Raw genomic sequence first — 15,435 nt, 5'->3', positions numbered from 1 at the left:
TGATAATTAAAAGAGTTGGTTGAGTAATGAATATACGTTTCCTTCAAACACTGTGCTTTTCTCTTTAGCTGTATCTTTGCAAAACCACTCTTCCCTCTGCTTGTAATTTTTCTCTCACTTATAAAATCTTACCTATCCATAAAGGTTCATCTTACATGCAGTACCCATCATAAAGCCTCTTCTTAAAGGTGACACCATATTTTCCTCATGTGAATCTCACGGCATACTGCATAACTTGACTAGTGAGCTGATATGGTGACATGATGATGTAAATGTTTCAGAGACAATAAAGGGCCTTGAAACTCGAAAGGAGGGTTTAGTTTTGTACATAAAACCAAGATATAGTATTAAAATATTTTTTATATGTAATATACTTAAAATTTGTCGCATAAAAGATTAAATGACCTCTCATCCAAAAAAGTAAAATACTTGATACTAAAGCTGTAATAGACATTCTGTACCTCAAAATTTCAAATAAACTTTCTCCTTATAAATGAACCTTTGAAAAAACATTTCTATCTTGAATACTCCAGACCTAAAGTCATAATGATGTGATTAAAACAAGGAAAAGAACAGTGGGTATAGATCCTATTTGTCCTGGAAAAATTTTACTTTATCATATGCATCATATAAACACTGTTATGAAGGTGTTTTTTCCAGAAAAATATTTTGTAGTGCTTTATCAATATTTTAATAGAGTAATTCATTCACATTAATTTCATGGGCTAAAATGAACCTTTATAAAACCACCATATGCATTTTTACACAAATGTCTTATTATTAGCTATAATGTTTTTCACATACACTGAACTACTATTATCTTCTTCATTATCCAAGGTAGCAGAAGTCAGTGCCTACAAGCAACAGCAAGTCATATAGCTTACTAATTTATATATAATCCCCAACATGTACATTAAAATGTATTTTACACACAACATAAACAGGATTAAAATTTCCCAAGAAGGTCATTAAGGAATCCCAAGTGCTAAAAGCCAGAGGTTCTGCTTTCTTGTGGATGGGGCTTGTAATTGTTTTGATCAGGCTGAAGCAGACAGCAGGTGTTCCTTTGTGAAGGACAACATAAGTGGGCAGGTCCTGGAAAATTGGTTGCCTGGATTAGGTGCACAAGAGGCTTTGGGGTTGGTGCTGAAGAGATGATAGGCTTCTTTTCCCCTCAGTACATAGAGGGAAGAAGTTGTCTCTGACCCCTTTAGAACTTGCCCTGGTCTGCTTTCCAAATAACAGCTGGTGAGTTATTTGACTAACATATGAAAAGATAATTTCTACTCTATGGTCCCAAGTAGCCAGTTACAAATAAACATAAAGGTAAGAATTTAAGCCTATCAACCCAGACCTTTTTTTTTACCTTTTTTCATGGCTATATTTGGAGTTGCAAGAGAGCATCTTTACACCCACAGGCAGGAAGATAGAACATTTCTTAAAATATTTTCAAAGTTATTACCCTACACAAGACAAAGAAACAGATTCATTATCAACATTTACACACACTCCTGTGTATACACACACTCTTACTCACAGGATGTAATGTAGATGATACCTTTTCCCAAAGGAAATTTTATAGACTAGAAGTATGCCTATATGAATGTCTGGTAATATGAGTCATGCTACACCCAAATATCCTCCTGCTCTTTTTAAGAGCACTGAAGAGACTTAATTCAACACACAAGCCATCATACTGCCACTAATGACACTCAGTCTTTGCCAAATTTTTTGGTGCTGACATATTTATTATAATGTTCTGTTTCTTTGTGTTACTAAAAAGATACTGAAGTATCTAATAAATTAAACATTTTATACCAATGACTACCTCTTTCTTTGGGAAAACAATCTATGTGAAGGAAATAGCATACTGTTATAAACATTTCAGAAATAATGAATTTTGATATACAGTGCCTTTCAAAGATTCTAAAACTATTAAATAATGAGTACCAATCTACGAAATCCATCTTCACCTAATTTTTTCCCATGAAATATTAATAAAAAAAGTCTTACAATATTAAAGTCTACTACATTTGGAGATATCTTAATTTTGTTCTTTCACAGTCATTTATTCACTGAACAGAAATAAAGAATTAGTCATGGTTCAGGTACAAAGGAATATAAGCTAATGTGTATGCAGTGGTTAAGGAACTATGCAAATAAGTGATTTTTAACCCTAGCTTAGAGTAACTTAAATAGGTAATTCAGAGTATTCAGAAATGTCCCAAGGTTTACCTATTTTAAATAAAACTTTAGTGTTGATATTTTTATAAACATGATTCGAAGAAAGTCTTGGGAAAAGATAAAAGGAACAAACATTTGAAAAGAAGAAATACGGGAAAGATTTTATTTTCATTAGAGAAAAAAAGCCGACAATTTAATGTCTTTATTCATTGAGCCATTCTTCATCTCACATCCTCCTGAACTTTAAATGGCACTTATCCAGTGAAATAAGAGTACATCAAGGCATTTGGTTTTTTAACGTGGCTTAATTTCAAAGTAAAACTTAGACCATGTTGAGCTGCTAACAATCTGAATTTACATATATCTTTTTTAATACTTAATATCTTAATGTGAATTTCACAGTTATGAATATGTGTGCATATATAATGTGTGTGTATAAATATGTAGTATTTAAAAAGAAAGCACTAACAGAGAACATAATTTCTCACAGCTAAAGATGGACAGAGAGTCCAAGAGAGAGAGGCAACTCAAACACTACAAGAAGCTAGCACTTTTTCTCCCCTGGAATCTTTTTGCCCCACATTCAAGAAGTTCTGAGAGCTAAATCAGAATTTCTTGATTGACTCATAACGAAGTTCATGGGAGAAAGAAAATAGTGATAATAATTTTTCATGTAAGTTTTATGAATCACCCACATAGTTTTACCAAAGGTGGTGACTTTCCATACCCTGTTACTTGCACTATCTCCTGTAACCTATCACTTATATTAACTGCGGACTTTGTATAGTTGGTGTCTTGACTTTTGTGATAAGCTGATTCCAAAGCTGTGGGTATAGTTCAGCATCTTGAACATACAGCTCACTTTTCCTTCTCCCCTTCCAATATGGCATTTGGTAATGCTGTGGTCTTTCAAGGCTTAAGGTTTATTTCGGAGGTTTCATGGTTTTCATTCATATATGCTACAGAAAACTAAAAGCCAATTTTGTTTTTATTTCAGCATCATTCACAATGTCCTTTTACTTCATCAAAACATAAAACTGAATGGGTCTGAAAGCTTTTGCTAAAGAGAGAAAAGGAGGAAGACAATTACATTGTAGTGAAAGGTAAAGCTGTAATGTAAACCTCTGATCATACTGTAGAACCTCAGTCCCCAAAAGAGCAGTAACATATTTTAAAATAACCATAATAATACAGGTTTTTCTTTTTTTGAGACAGAGTCTCACTCTGTTGCCCAGGCTGGAGTGCAGTGGCACGATCATAGCCCTCTGCAACCTTGAATTTCTAGGCTCAAGTGATCTTCCTGCCTCAGCCTCCTGAGTAGTTTGAACTACAAACACATGCTGCGACACTTGGCTAATTTTTAAAAATTTTCTGTAGAGACGTGGTCTCGCTATGTTGCCCAGGCTGGTCTTGAACTTCTAGCCTCAAGCAATCCCCCTCCACCCTGGCCTACCAAAGTGCTGGAATTACAGGCATGAGCCACCGCCCTCAGCCACAATACAGGCCTTTAACTAATTTTTTTATGAAGATATTTACATGGGTTATTAAGTTATTAAATTTCAGCCATTCCTTCCTATATTTCATTTCTGTTCTTCTTACAAAGATGCTGGAAAAATATGTATTTTGAAATAAAAAGAAAAGACTCCCAGTCACCAAAGCTAAGGAGTAAAATGAAGCATCCTTATCTAAAATGTTAAAGCTCCCATTTATAATAATTTTGTGGAAAATCTATACTTACAAAAAATTCATGCTTAAATTTAATTCAGGAACTTAAATGACAAAATTAAAAAGCAACTCAAACCCTAGTATTCAAAAAGTAATATGTTTAAAAATGTACAACTTTGCTATAAATGATTTTTACAATGTCATTTACTAGCAGACATGTAACAAAAATATGCTTATTTGAAAATTTAGCAAATACTGCAATATATGTATATATTTATCACAACACAAAACTAAAGCACACACGTATATATATATAGCTAAAAGTATCATCCTAAATCTTTATTAATAGAATTTTTAGTAAGAAAAACTTCTGTAATGGCTGTATTTTCACTGTGGAAGTTACCTTTAGAAATCACTTTACCAAAATTCCAGCAACTCAGACAAAAAAAGGAACTCAATGTCAGCTCCATATGAGACCATAGTGAATTCTATATACCATTTTTCCAACTTTTAAAAATCCTTTATTGTCCACTATTAGGATAATAAGATGCAGAAGGGACAGTGTGAGAGGAAATGTAAAAGTAATGAGTGGCTATGTTACCTACAATTTGAGCTACCATGCCAATCAGAATATTAATTTAGTGGATGAAACCTATCCTTGAGTCCTAGGGCTAAATAAACTAAAAAGAACTTAAGATTAATGCCATCATCTATTTAATTTCCTATTATATGGTGGTTCTTTAGCGTTTCCCTTTCATGTGATAATTTTTTATCAGGCAGTTAAATGTTATCTACTGATTGCCTACTCCTAATATGAAAAGGAAGTGGATTGGGCAATTGTGACTGGCAGACTCTTCCTTTTATGAAAGAGATAAAAAAAAAAAACGGGTGGGGGGTGACTGAGGATGATGCTGATTTGCAAATGAGCCATACACTTAATAAGTTAATAAGCCAGAGTAGGTAAGAACTTCAGCCAATAGATACATTTTAAACACATGAAATAAACTTATAAGGAAACTAAAAATTCCATGTAAAATAACTAGATCATAGTAACCACGTTGACACTGAAAGATAAAGTTTAATCATAAAAAATGAAACAGTAACCATTTTAAAAAAGCAACTACTCTTCCTGGTAAAGCTAGTAAGAACTGCACAAATAAGAAAGAAACAAATCAGGATGCAGAGATCTGCAGAGAAAATAAATTGGTTAACAGGAAGTAACTATTATTGAGATATCATACAATTTATCTCCTTTATATAAGGACTTAAGATAATAAATTTTAGTTTGATAACAGAAACATGAAATATTATATTGGATGATAAAGTAATAAATTGATTTCTCTGTACAAAATAAAAATACAGTTTATATCAATACGTATCACTTCAAAACCAGTTTCCACACATTCTCATCAAATCCATAATGTTCAATGTGAAATAAAAGAAAAACAATCTATGAAGCTCTCATAAACCACTACATAAGGTAGAATCTGAAATAAAATATTATTATGAGTAACTAAAATCATTGATGCATCATTTCCTTAATTTTTGGTATATGTCTCTTCATAATTTTTCCCCCTCCCAAAAGAGAATGATTCACTTGTTCTATTTTAGAATACTGATTTCACAGAATCCTAACATAGTTATTTTAGGCTATTATAAGAACCCATTATTTATTAAGCAATATGTTAAACACCATGCTAACATAATTAATCTCTGTAGTCCAGCAACATGTGTGTTTACAGGAATAAGATGTGGGGTACACCAGAAACACTGCCTCTTGTGGTCTCAGTTTTCAGTATCTTAGGTATATGGAATTATATGATAAATACTTTCTCCTCTGAGAAAGCAGAACAGAAGAAAATAGGGAAGAACAAAGAAAACTTAATGAGATGAAGAGTGGAGGAGAAATAGTCCAGTGAGAAGAGATGAGAATGATAAAGAAAAGAAAATGGAATTAGAAAAAAACCAAAAAAATAAAGACAACAATTTAGCAAATCAAAAAAGAGAAAGAAAGTACATCTGCTGTTAGACAATATCATGGTATTGATTCCACTCAATGACTCATTCATTTCTGCTGAAGTCCAGGGAAGGAGGTAAATTGAGAGGGAGGGAAAAGGAGAGATGAATATTAAGGGGATACCACACTCTCTATCCATTCTGATTATGTTGGCTTCTCCTTTGAACAATATTCTCCTGTTGTTCTGGGGTTGAAGGAACAAGAGAGTGAGGACAGAGTCCAAAATGAGAGACAACAGTGAGAGTAAGGGAGACGCATAAATGAAGTTAGAGGAAGTTTTGAGATAGTCCTTCAATCTGTTCCCTCCTCCCACACTCTCTGCCATCCTTAGTCTTGCTCAACAATGTTTATCATTTTGGAGGTAACAAAAACCACTAGCTTATAGTACTTATCTTCCATCTCTCACTAATCAATGTAGAACATCCTATTTGCTGCAGTCTATCTTCTTCTTGACTATCCCAACCTGGTTATTTTCCATTCCAGTATCCTTTATAGCCTCATCTATTGAAACATTTCTTTCCATAATGTAGTCATCAGGTTCCAGAATATCTTTCAAAATAACAGTGAATATGTTTTAATATTAATACAAAATAAAAGGAAAAACTTCCAAATGTTGTTAATAGATTCAACCATCATATATGCCACTCTTCTCAAGTGATATTCCCGAGACTGTTTTTAGTATGGATAGAATCTTTAGAACCCTTTGCACACCAAAAACAGTATTAACATGAAATTGAACAGATTATAAATATGCCCCAATAATTTTAATAACTATAAGTAGTCTCATCAGCTAAAAAAATGTGTTAAAAGTGCATCATGAGGGCAGAGTTGCTGCATCAAACTATGCCGAGGTATCTCCCAGAGAGAGGGATGTAGTGGCAGATGAAGTGGAAAAAATCTTGGGAGATTCCAGCAGCCTTTGAGGAGTTGGATCTTCAATGGTGGGGAAGACATGTAATAAGACTCAGTCTGCTTTGCTTGGATGTTCATGATTTTTTCTTCTTCCTATCTGGCAGCCACAGTTTCTCAGCCACAGAAGTATGTTGGTTTGAAAAACTTAAAAGCCACTTATAACAGAGAATATAGCAACATGAAAAAGGACATAAAACTTCCAGTTTCATTTCAATTAAGAAAATACTTTTAAAAAAGGAGCAAACTAGAAACATAGGCATCTAATTAGACATCTTGAAGATATACCATACTAGCAATTTAAAAAAATAGTATTTGAATTCATCTGATTTATTCAACTTTCTTAGACTCTTAGGGAAATATTTAAAATAATTTTTGTATTTATCTTAAGTAAAGAAAAATATCAGATTTTATATTTTACATTACTACCTATAGTCATAGGAAATTTTAGAATTACAGAAAAATACTAACTGGGTTAGTATCATCCAAAATTATAAGATTTAACATTGTTCTTTTCATTAATGAGTCTAAATTGGTATGGAACAATACTGGCAATCTCACTATTCTAGTCAATTAATGGATTAGAGAATTAATATTAGTTATGTATTTCAAATTTATTAGGCCATACTTTAATGTAACTATTATATCATAACCAAACCCTATGGTAATGAACGTAGGGAGAGAAGGGATAATTGCAGACTATAAATAATTTATACTTGCTTCAATTAAGAGAATTTCCATTTCACCACCTCTGTATATTATCTAATAAGAGATTAAATGCACTGTACAGACCACAATACAGGCAACAGCAAGAAAAAGAGGGCAGAGTAGGCTACATTTAGTGAAATGCATTGGTTTTGCCCAAATATGCCTCTACTTGAACACAAAAAAACCTGGCAACCGATCATATTATTAAAAAAGTCTACTTTCATGAAATTCAACATACTATCTTGTCTCTATTATATTCCAAAATCAATTTGTTGGCTCTAGTAGCAGTATGCCAAGAAGGAGGATTCCAATTGGTCCAACTGTTGTAGCAGGTAAAAGAGAAGAAAGGCGGTTGCAAAGTTGTTATTGAGCTCCTAATGTGTGCCCGGCATTATGACAGGTGTTTTTACATATCTTACTTATCTGAGTGAAAGAAGCAGAGTGAGGAAGTGGCAGTAAAGTTAAGTTTCAACCCTATTTCTAATTTCAGTTCAGCTGGCTCGCTATCCCAGCTATGTAAATTCTCACTTCCTTTCTTCTTCTCCTACCTTGGCCCCACTTAATCTTTCATTGAATCCTGAGATTTACTTACATGCTTGTTAGGATTCTTCCTCTTTTGTTGGATAGTTATATAATTTTTGAGTTTTGGGAGGGAGTATAATAAAATTGAAGTAAGAACATGGGTCTTAGAGTCAAAGAACTTTGAGTTTTGGGTGAGCTGAATAATTATTCTGAGTCTCAATTTCTACATATACCTTATTTGCAGGATTATTGCATGGACTAAATGAAATAAAATATGTAAAATACTTAACATGATGCTTGGCACACTGTAAGAACACAATAAGTGTTAGCTATGGTTATTATCATTAGAAAAAGGTAAACAGATGCACAGTTACCATGACTCACTTAAAGCCATAAGTCAATTTCAGAGCAAGAGCTGGAACCAAGTTTTCCCAAAGATCATTCTGTGTAGTTTTCAATATTTTAGAATATTCCTGTGATGTAAAGATGCATTTACACATTCTAGGTGTATTTAAATGTCACCAATCCACATAGATTTTATTAGTTTATTTGTAGACTTTCAAAGGCTTTCATATTCATTTCATAAACACCAGTATCTTTGTTCCACAAACAATATCCTTTAAATAATTTTATTTTTATTAGAGACTAATCTCTATCCTCTTAATGACCATCTGGAAATGCATGCTGAAACTATTCAACAGATGTCATGTTTGTTAAGGTCACATTGCAGAAATGGAAGCAGCATAAACATTAGAAGAGGGAAAAGCTACTCGTCTACTGAAGCAGCTGCTTTATCCCACTGCCCAAATCCTCATCCTATGGGACAGGAAACTTCAGTCAGAACAACTACTTTGTACAGTTTCTAGTAATCAGAAAAGAAAGCCATCAAAACTGTCATAGTGTGGAAAGGCTTTGTCTACTACCAACACTCTATTATTCAGTGTCAAAGGTACACCCACGCATTTAATTTTGAAAACGTTTACCAACTTTTACTTCACTTAGATAATGAACTTATTGAAGAGACATCATGGCTTTAATTATCAGTGTCTAGGAGCCTTTCCAAAATATCACAGACTTCTCAAATTATTCAAAACCAAAATTGAAATGTCATTTGCCTTATGATTAGAATCACTGAGAAAAATCAGGTTTTTCACAAAATTTCTTCCATCACTAGGACATGCAAAAGCAAATTTAGTTAAATTGTGTAATAGGAAATAATTACTCACTCTGATGAGTTAGTAAGCGAGGAGCAGAATACTAATAAAAACTCTGCCTTTTTTCAAATGAGTTATGATATTAATAATTTTGGATTATTTTAACTTTTTAAGATAACAAATATACTTTATTTTGGCAGAGAGAGTGGAAAAAAGTGAATCAACTGAGACATATAAAATAGTCCAAAATGAAAAGCATATAATGTTCATTTTCTAAACCTAAGTTTAAGAAAAATAACCCTTAAAAATCTACAATAGGCACAGAATCCCACTATTATAAAAAATGGCAGTGGGATTCTGTGCCTACTGTAGATTTTTAAGGGTAGATAACAAAGGGATTTGTGAGGTTCATAGGGCAAGAACATTTTTTAAAATGAAAACTGTTGTCCTCTTTTAGGAAATAAAAAGCTAATTCAGCTATTAAAAATTTTAAAATTTTCAAAGATCTACATTTAAAATACTCCCCCCAAAACCACCAGATACTTTAATGAACAAATCAATGTTAGATAAATGGATGTATGCTGTTATAAAACATCTACTAGGTAATTCAATAATTTATAAAATGAAACTTTCAAAAAGTTGTATCAAGAAAAGGTTGAATTTATACATACTGTCACTTTAATTTCTATTCCAAAATTGTTATTCCAGTTCATGGAATATATACTATTATCTAGTACTTTTCCATACAGAAATGTATATCTAACCTCAACCACCACCAATGCTCTTCAGGTTCTTTTAAAAAAATGCTTTACGTTCCATCAAATAATTAAGAAGAATAAATATTCAGTTATTTTTTCAAAAGGCTGTTCAATATTTTGTATACAAACAGGAATTTCATTTCATTGGCATTCTTTTAAAGCTTTAGCAAATCAAAATTAGTTCCTCCCACTGACTCTTAAGTTAATTATACATACCACAGTCTGATGATTAACTTGAATCACTTCATCGCCAGCATGGATTTTCTTGCACCGATCTGCAGGTGACTGAATTTAATATAAAAGAAACGATAAAGAACATAAATTTTATCAGTCATTTCCTGTCTCTGGAAACACTACAAAAAGTTCATCTCCATAAATTAGATTTAAAAATTAATTAAAAATTTCAAGGAATTAAAGCAATAAACACGGTTATTAGTATTTAATACACTGTTTTTACCTGCTGAGCCAGTTAAATAAACATAGAAAGAAAAAAATTAATAAAAAATAGTTTGCATTCTATGCATAGCTAATGACAACAAACAGAAATGCAAAATAATATATAGATATTTATTATAAAAGAACACGTTTCTGAGAGCATTATGAAAAAATGATAATTGGTATTAACCTTTGTAAACTTTATACAAGCAACTCTCCTAGGCTCTAGTGGGTAAGTGCTTCAAAAATGCATTTCAAAAAATTATATCTTTTTGTATTGTGATCCTTTCCATTTGATATAAATAATTCACATTAACTTCAACAAATCCATTTCAAGTACATGAATATGATCAGCATCAAAGATTTGAAGTTTGATAATTAAATTGCTAATTTATTTCATCAGTAACACCAATTCTGAATAATCTAGCAAAGCAAATTAAAAGATGGACAGCAATTAGTTCAAATCATATTACATAACATGCTAAGTGTCTAGTTATAAGAGGATGCTATTTCTCATGTTACATATAGTGTAATACACTGGACAGTAAAACCACATTCAATGAACTAAAATGCCAATATTTCTATAGAATGCAATAATCTAACACTTTTTTCCTTTATTCCCAAAAGGGATGAAAAACAAAAACAAACAAACTTGGTAAGCTAATACTGACAAGTTTTAAGGAGTTTTTAGGAAATTAAAATGAGATTTAAGATAGAAATTTTATATTGCAGGTCTGAGTAATGAATTTAAAATATTATATTTTTCTTGTTAGCTACTTATTGATTATATGCATTTTAATATGCTTTTGAATATATAGAAAATCCATTTTTATAAAAATGTATTTGTCTAGATAGATGTGTATGTGTTTATCTATCACACACAAACATAAATGCTGTGATACTCTTCGTTATTATCTACTGAAAGCTAAAGAAGAAGAATATGGTAATGTAATCTGCAAAGTACAATGCTACTTTTGAGACCCTGGAGTAGGACATACTTTAAAAGTGATTTCCAGTTTGTTTTTTATTCATTTCCAATTATTTTTAAAACATAGAAGTCTTGAAACAATGTTAACCTCCATTCAACACATTTTTAAAATTCACAATAAAATTATTTGTCATAGGCTATAATTCAAGATAAGACAACATACCAGGGAGTTCTAGTTACTGAAGTAATAACACAATTACATTATTAAGGGGATAGATCAATCTACAATAAAAAACTCTAAGAATAGAGTCATAACAATAATATAATATTTTAATCTCACAGCACCTTTAGGAGGGGGACATATTACCAAGTCAGACAAGTACCATGAAACAATTCTGAAAAGATTGTAAATCATTAATATATTTGTAACTATAGTTGGTTCCTGTGGTATTTGGTTCACAACTGATCCTTTTAAAGGAAAGTATGGAAAAAATATCGAGCAAATGGCTCTAGTCATTATGTAGAAGAAAATGATAGTATATAAAATTCAAAGAAACTGAAACATTTTGCACAGGTAAGTAAAGAAGTCATATAAATTATAGATTTTTAGTTTTAAAAGAGATCCTAGAGATAGAATTTTGTCCAAATGCCTCATTTCACATATAAGAAAACTAAGAAATTAGGGCACAGCAAAGCAAAATAACTTACCCACTCTAGTGAGCAGCTTTACTAAGACTCAAGACAGATCTCCTAATTATAAATGACTGAGGTTACCAAAAATACTTAAATATTTTTAAGAAAAAAAAGAATCAAAAGATGAACTATTAATATATGGTTCATATCTGAACTACTCCCAGACTCAATCTCTCTTTTGATCACTTATCTATTTATGAAACATTAGTGAGTAATATGAGCAAGACAGTGCTCCACATTTTTTTGCAGACCTGAGACAATATAGAGATCCATTCCTACCAATTCTTCAAGATACAGTTCAAAATAACCATTTCTGTGATTCTTTCTCTGATTTCACTTGGCAGTATTTACTATTCTTCCCTTTGTCCATCCATGCAAATTACACTACTGTTTATAAAGATGAACCCCCACATGCTCTCCACGCCTTGATGGCACCAAACTAGTTATTTTAAAATTCTTCCAATACCTAGCACCATGCCTGAAACATAGCAGACATGAAGCAGAGGTCTGTTAAATGAACAAATGAATACATGAATGAATAAATAAATCAGAATGAACAATTGATGACAAGCATATAGTTTGTAGCATCTTAACTGCATTTAAAATTGTTAAAATCTTCATAATATGCATGTTACTGATATTCTTGATCCCTACGACTCTCATATTTAATACCAAATGTGAAGCTGCTCCTGCACTCCAACTGCAAATATATATGTTTCACCTTTCACAAGAAACCAAGAGAAGCAAGGAAAAATATCAGTAAGTGATTACATAGGGGAATTAGATGAAAAGAATGTTGATTTTTAAAAAGAAAATGCTGGTAAAATGTTCAGATCAATAATAATTTGAGATTGAACTAATTCCACCTCAGTCTTCTTTAAAAGAGCACTGCATATGCATGCAATTGGCAGAATCTCTAAAATAAAAAAAAAATACATTCAAAGCTCAGTACCTGCTTATATAATAATAGAATGGAAATCTGAAATAACCAAATGCAAGAATGATGATGTATTATGCTGTTCACCTCTATCACACTGATCATGTTAATAATATCCAGCATGATCACTTCATGCTTTTCTCTCTATAACACAGATAGTTCTCTATAGCATGGCCTTTTCTTAGCTTATTTAATTTTCATTACAACCTAGTGAGGTATGTAGTGCAGATAATTTGTTTCCAATTATAGTCGAAGAAACTGAAGCAATGAGAGGTTAAATGTCTTGCCCAAAATTACACTGCCATTAAGATGCAGAACTGGTTGTAAAGACATAGGCCTGTGGACTTCTGGCCCACTGCTTATGGTGGTTCGCAAATATGCCTCAGATTCACTTGTTAAAATAGAATCTCTTATTAAGAAATAGGCTGGTCTCCAGAATTTCTGATTTAGTAGGTCTGGGGTAGGGCCTAACAGTTTGCATATATAGCAAGTTCCAAAGGGAGGCTAATGCTGGTGTCCAGGAATGTCACTGTGAAAACCACTCAGCTATACCATGCTGCCCTTCCACTGAATTAAGCTGAATTATACTGGAAGTATTCAGAAAACCTGACTTATCTGATATTTATTTCTCGCATGAGTTTAGTTTCTTTAAATAACCAAATCATTTGACAGATGGAAATGAATTCTTTCAGATGTCACAATAACTTGTCATGAATCAGAAAATACAAAGACAAATCTCTGGCTGAAAACACCTGATTTACTTTAAGTAAACAGCTATTCTAAACAAAAAAAAAGGGAAATTTGAACAGAATGAATGCTACTAACTCAGTATCTCTTTTAAATTGTATCTACTATCTGTTCATGTCCTTATCCTTAGATGTTAACCTCAATCATGTGAGATATATAAGTTGTTAGCAATAAAAGGGAAAAACACACTTAAAAATTTGAAAGGTTAGAATACTTACATTTTCTGTGGTTCCAGTAATTACATGGAGGCCATCATATGTAGATTTAATATACATACCCTAAGAAAAAGACAGCATCAGAAAAGAAAGTGAAGCAATTGGTGAATTTTCAAGTACATTGTAACCTCGTTTATATAAAAAATTACTCTATCAAATTAAAACTGCCACACGCCCCAGAAATAAATCCATGAAGACAGACGCTATCTTTAAACTGGTGAGAAATTACTATCTGAACATTCTGGTTTCTAAAGTTTGTCTGAAGAAGCCTATACTCAATTAAATAACTACTTGATAAGTGAATTGCCTGTGAGACTGATAAAATGCAGCATGGTAATTCAATATTCCTAAGAAAGAAACTCTCTCACTCTCCCCAAAAACCCATACTGCATATTCTGTGGCAAAATAAAAGTTACAATGGGAAATTAAAATATTGGTATGTTATTAACTTATTATACTTGATATATTATACAATGGAAAGTAGTTTTCTAATGAGACACTTCAATTATAACTGGAACCAGAAGAGTGATAAAATATAATTTACATAAATTTTCTCCTTCTATTTTGTAGTATCCTGTATTTTCCACCTTTCTTATTGATAAAGTTTTACTAATTATATCCAATCATATCTACATCGATAATTAAAAGGTAGTGTGTATCTGTAGCAATCCCTTCCCCCAGTAAAAAGGACAAGATTCCACTTTCCATTTAAATAGAACCATTTTTAGAAAAAACTACATTAAAGTTTAAAAATTATACAGAAATCCTGAAATCATACAAACTTTAAGAGCAAGTGGAAACTTTAAATTATGGATAGTGATGGAACTTTAAAGAAAAAAAATCACAATAAGGGATTCACATTTTTAATATTAAATAATTTAAGTAAATCAGAACAAACTAGATGATTCAGTTAATGAATTTTTGTCCCCTCCAAAGAAGATTGTTACTTTAAATTTATTTTCGGGGAAAAACTACCCAAATTTTACCTATAAAAGTGGTTTGCATTTCAAAATACTTACTTCATAAATAAAAATATTAATATTAATTAACTTCAAATCTGAAATATAGATTTAATAATAACAACCAACAATACCATTTCAGAAAAAGCATACATTTAGTACTTACATGAAGCAATTGCTACAATGTTAATTTCCTATACCTTTGTTAATTATATATTTAGATACCTGAAAATACATGTGTCTTCACTGAAAATAAGAGATTAGAAAAATAAGTAGTAAATTTCATGGTATGGAACTATTGAGAAATCACTGGGTAGATTTTAATTCTAAAAAGTCATTTCAGTAATACCATATGTCTAAAATGGCTGAGCCTGGATTGCTAATATGAAACAAAATGAATGCTTATCACTTTATATAAAACAAATAACCTTAACAAAAGTACAATCAGAATTTAATTAATGGATTGGCCAGTAGTTTTTGCCTATGACAACATGGTAATATTCAGCCTTACACTGGTGACAGGTATACAACATACTTAATTTGAAGCTAACATTTACCCCATTATTTACTGATCGGTAAATATAATGGTATTATTTTAGAACTT

At 31.7% G+C, this 15,435-nt stretch overlaps 1 protein-coding gene across 8 annotated transcripts in view; it reads right to left on the bottom strand.

Annotated features, from left to right (window-relative positions):
- The window catches only part of CNKSR2 (connector enhancer of kinase suppressor of Ras 2), a 280,272-nt gene that overhangs the window by 142,968 nt on the left and 121,869 nt on the right, over positions 1-15,435 (bottom strand). For all 8 annotated transcript variants that reach the window (NM_014927.5, NM_001168647.3, NM_001330770.2 and 5 more), the window contains exons 7-8: positions 13,876-13,935; positions 10,134-10,202 (exon numbers count right to left, since the gene is read on the bottom strand). In NM_014927.5, the coding sequence (NP_055742.2) occupies positions 10,134-10,202; positions 13,876-13,935 (129 nt within the window). The remainder of the gene's footprint in view (positions 1-10,133; positions 10,203-13,875; positions 13,936-15,435) is intronic.

The sequence above is a fragment of the Homo sapiens genome, chromosome X (assembly GCF_000001405.40).
Source record: "Homo sapiens chromosome X, GRCh38.p14 Primary Assembly".
NCBI lineage: Eukaryota > Metazoa > Chordata > Mammalia > Primates > Hominidae > Homo > Homo sapiens.
The sequence above is the reverse complement of the archived record's forward strand: the minus strand, read 5'-3'. Positions and strand labels throughout refer to the sequence as shown.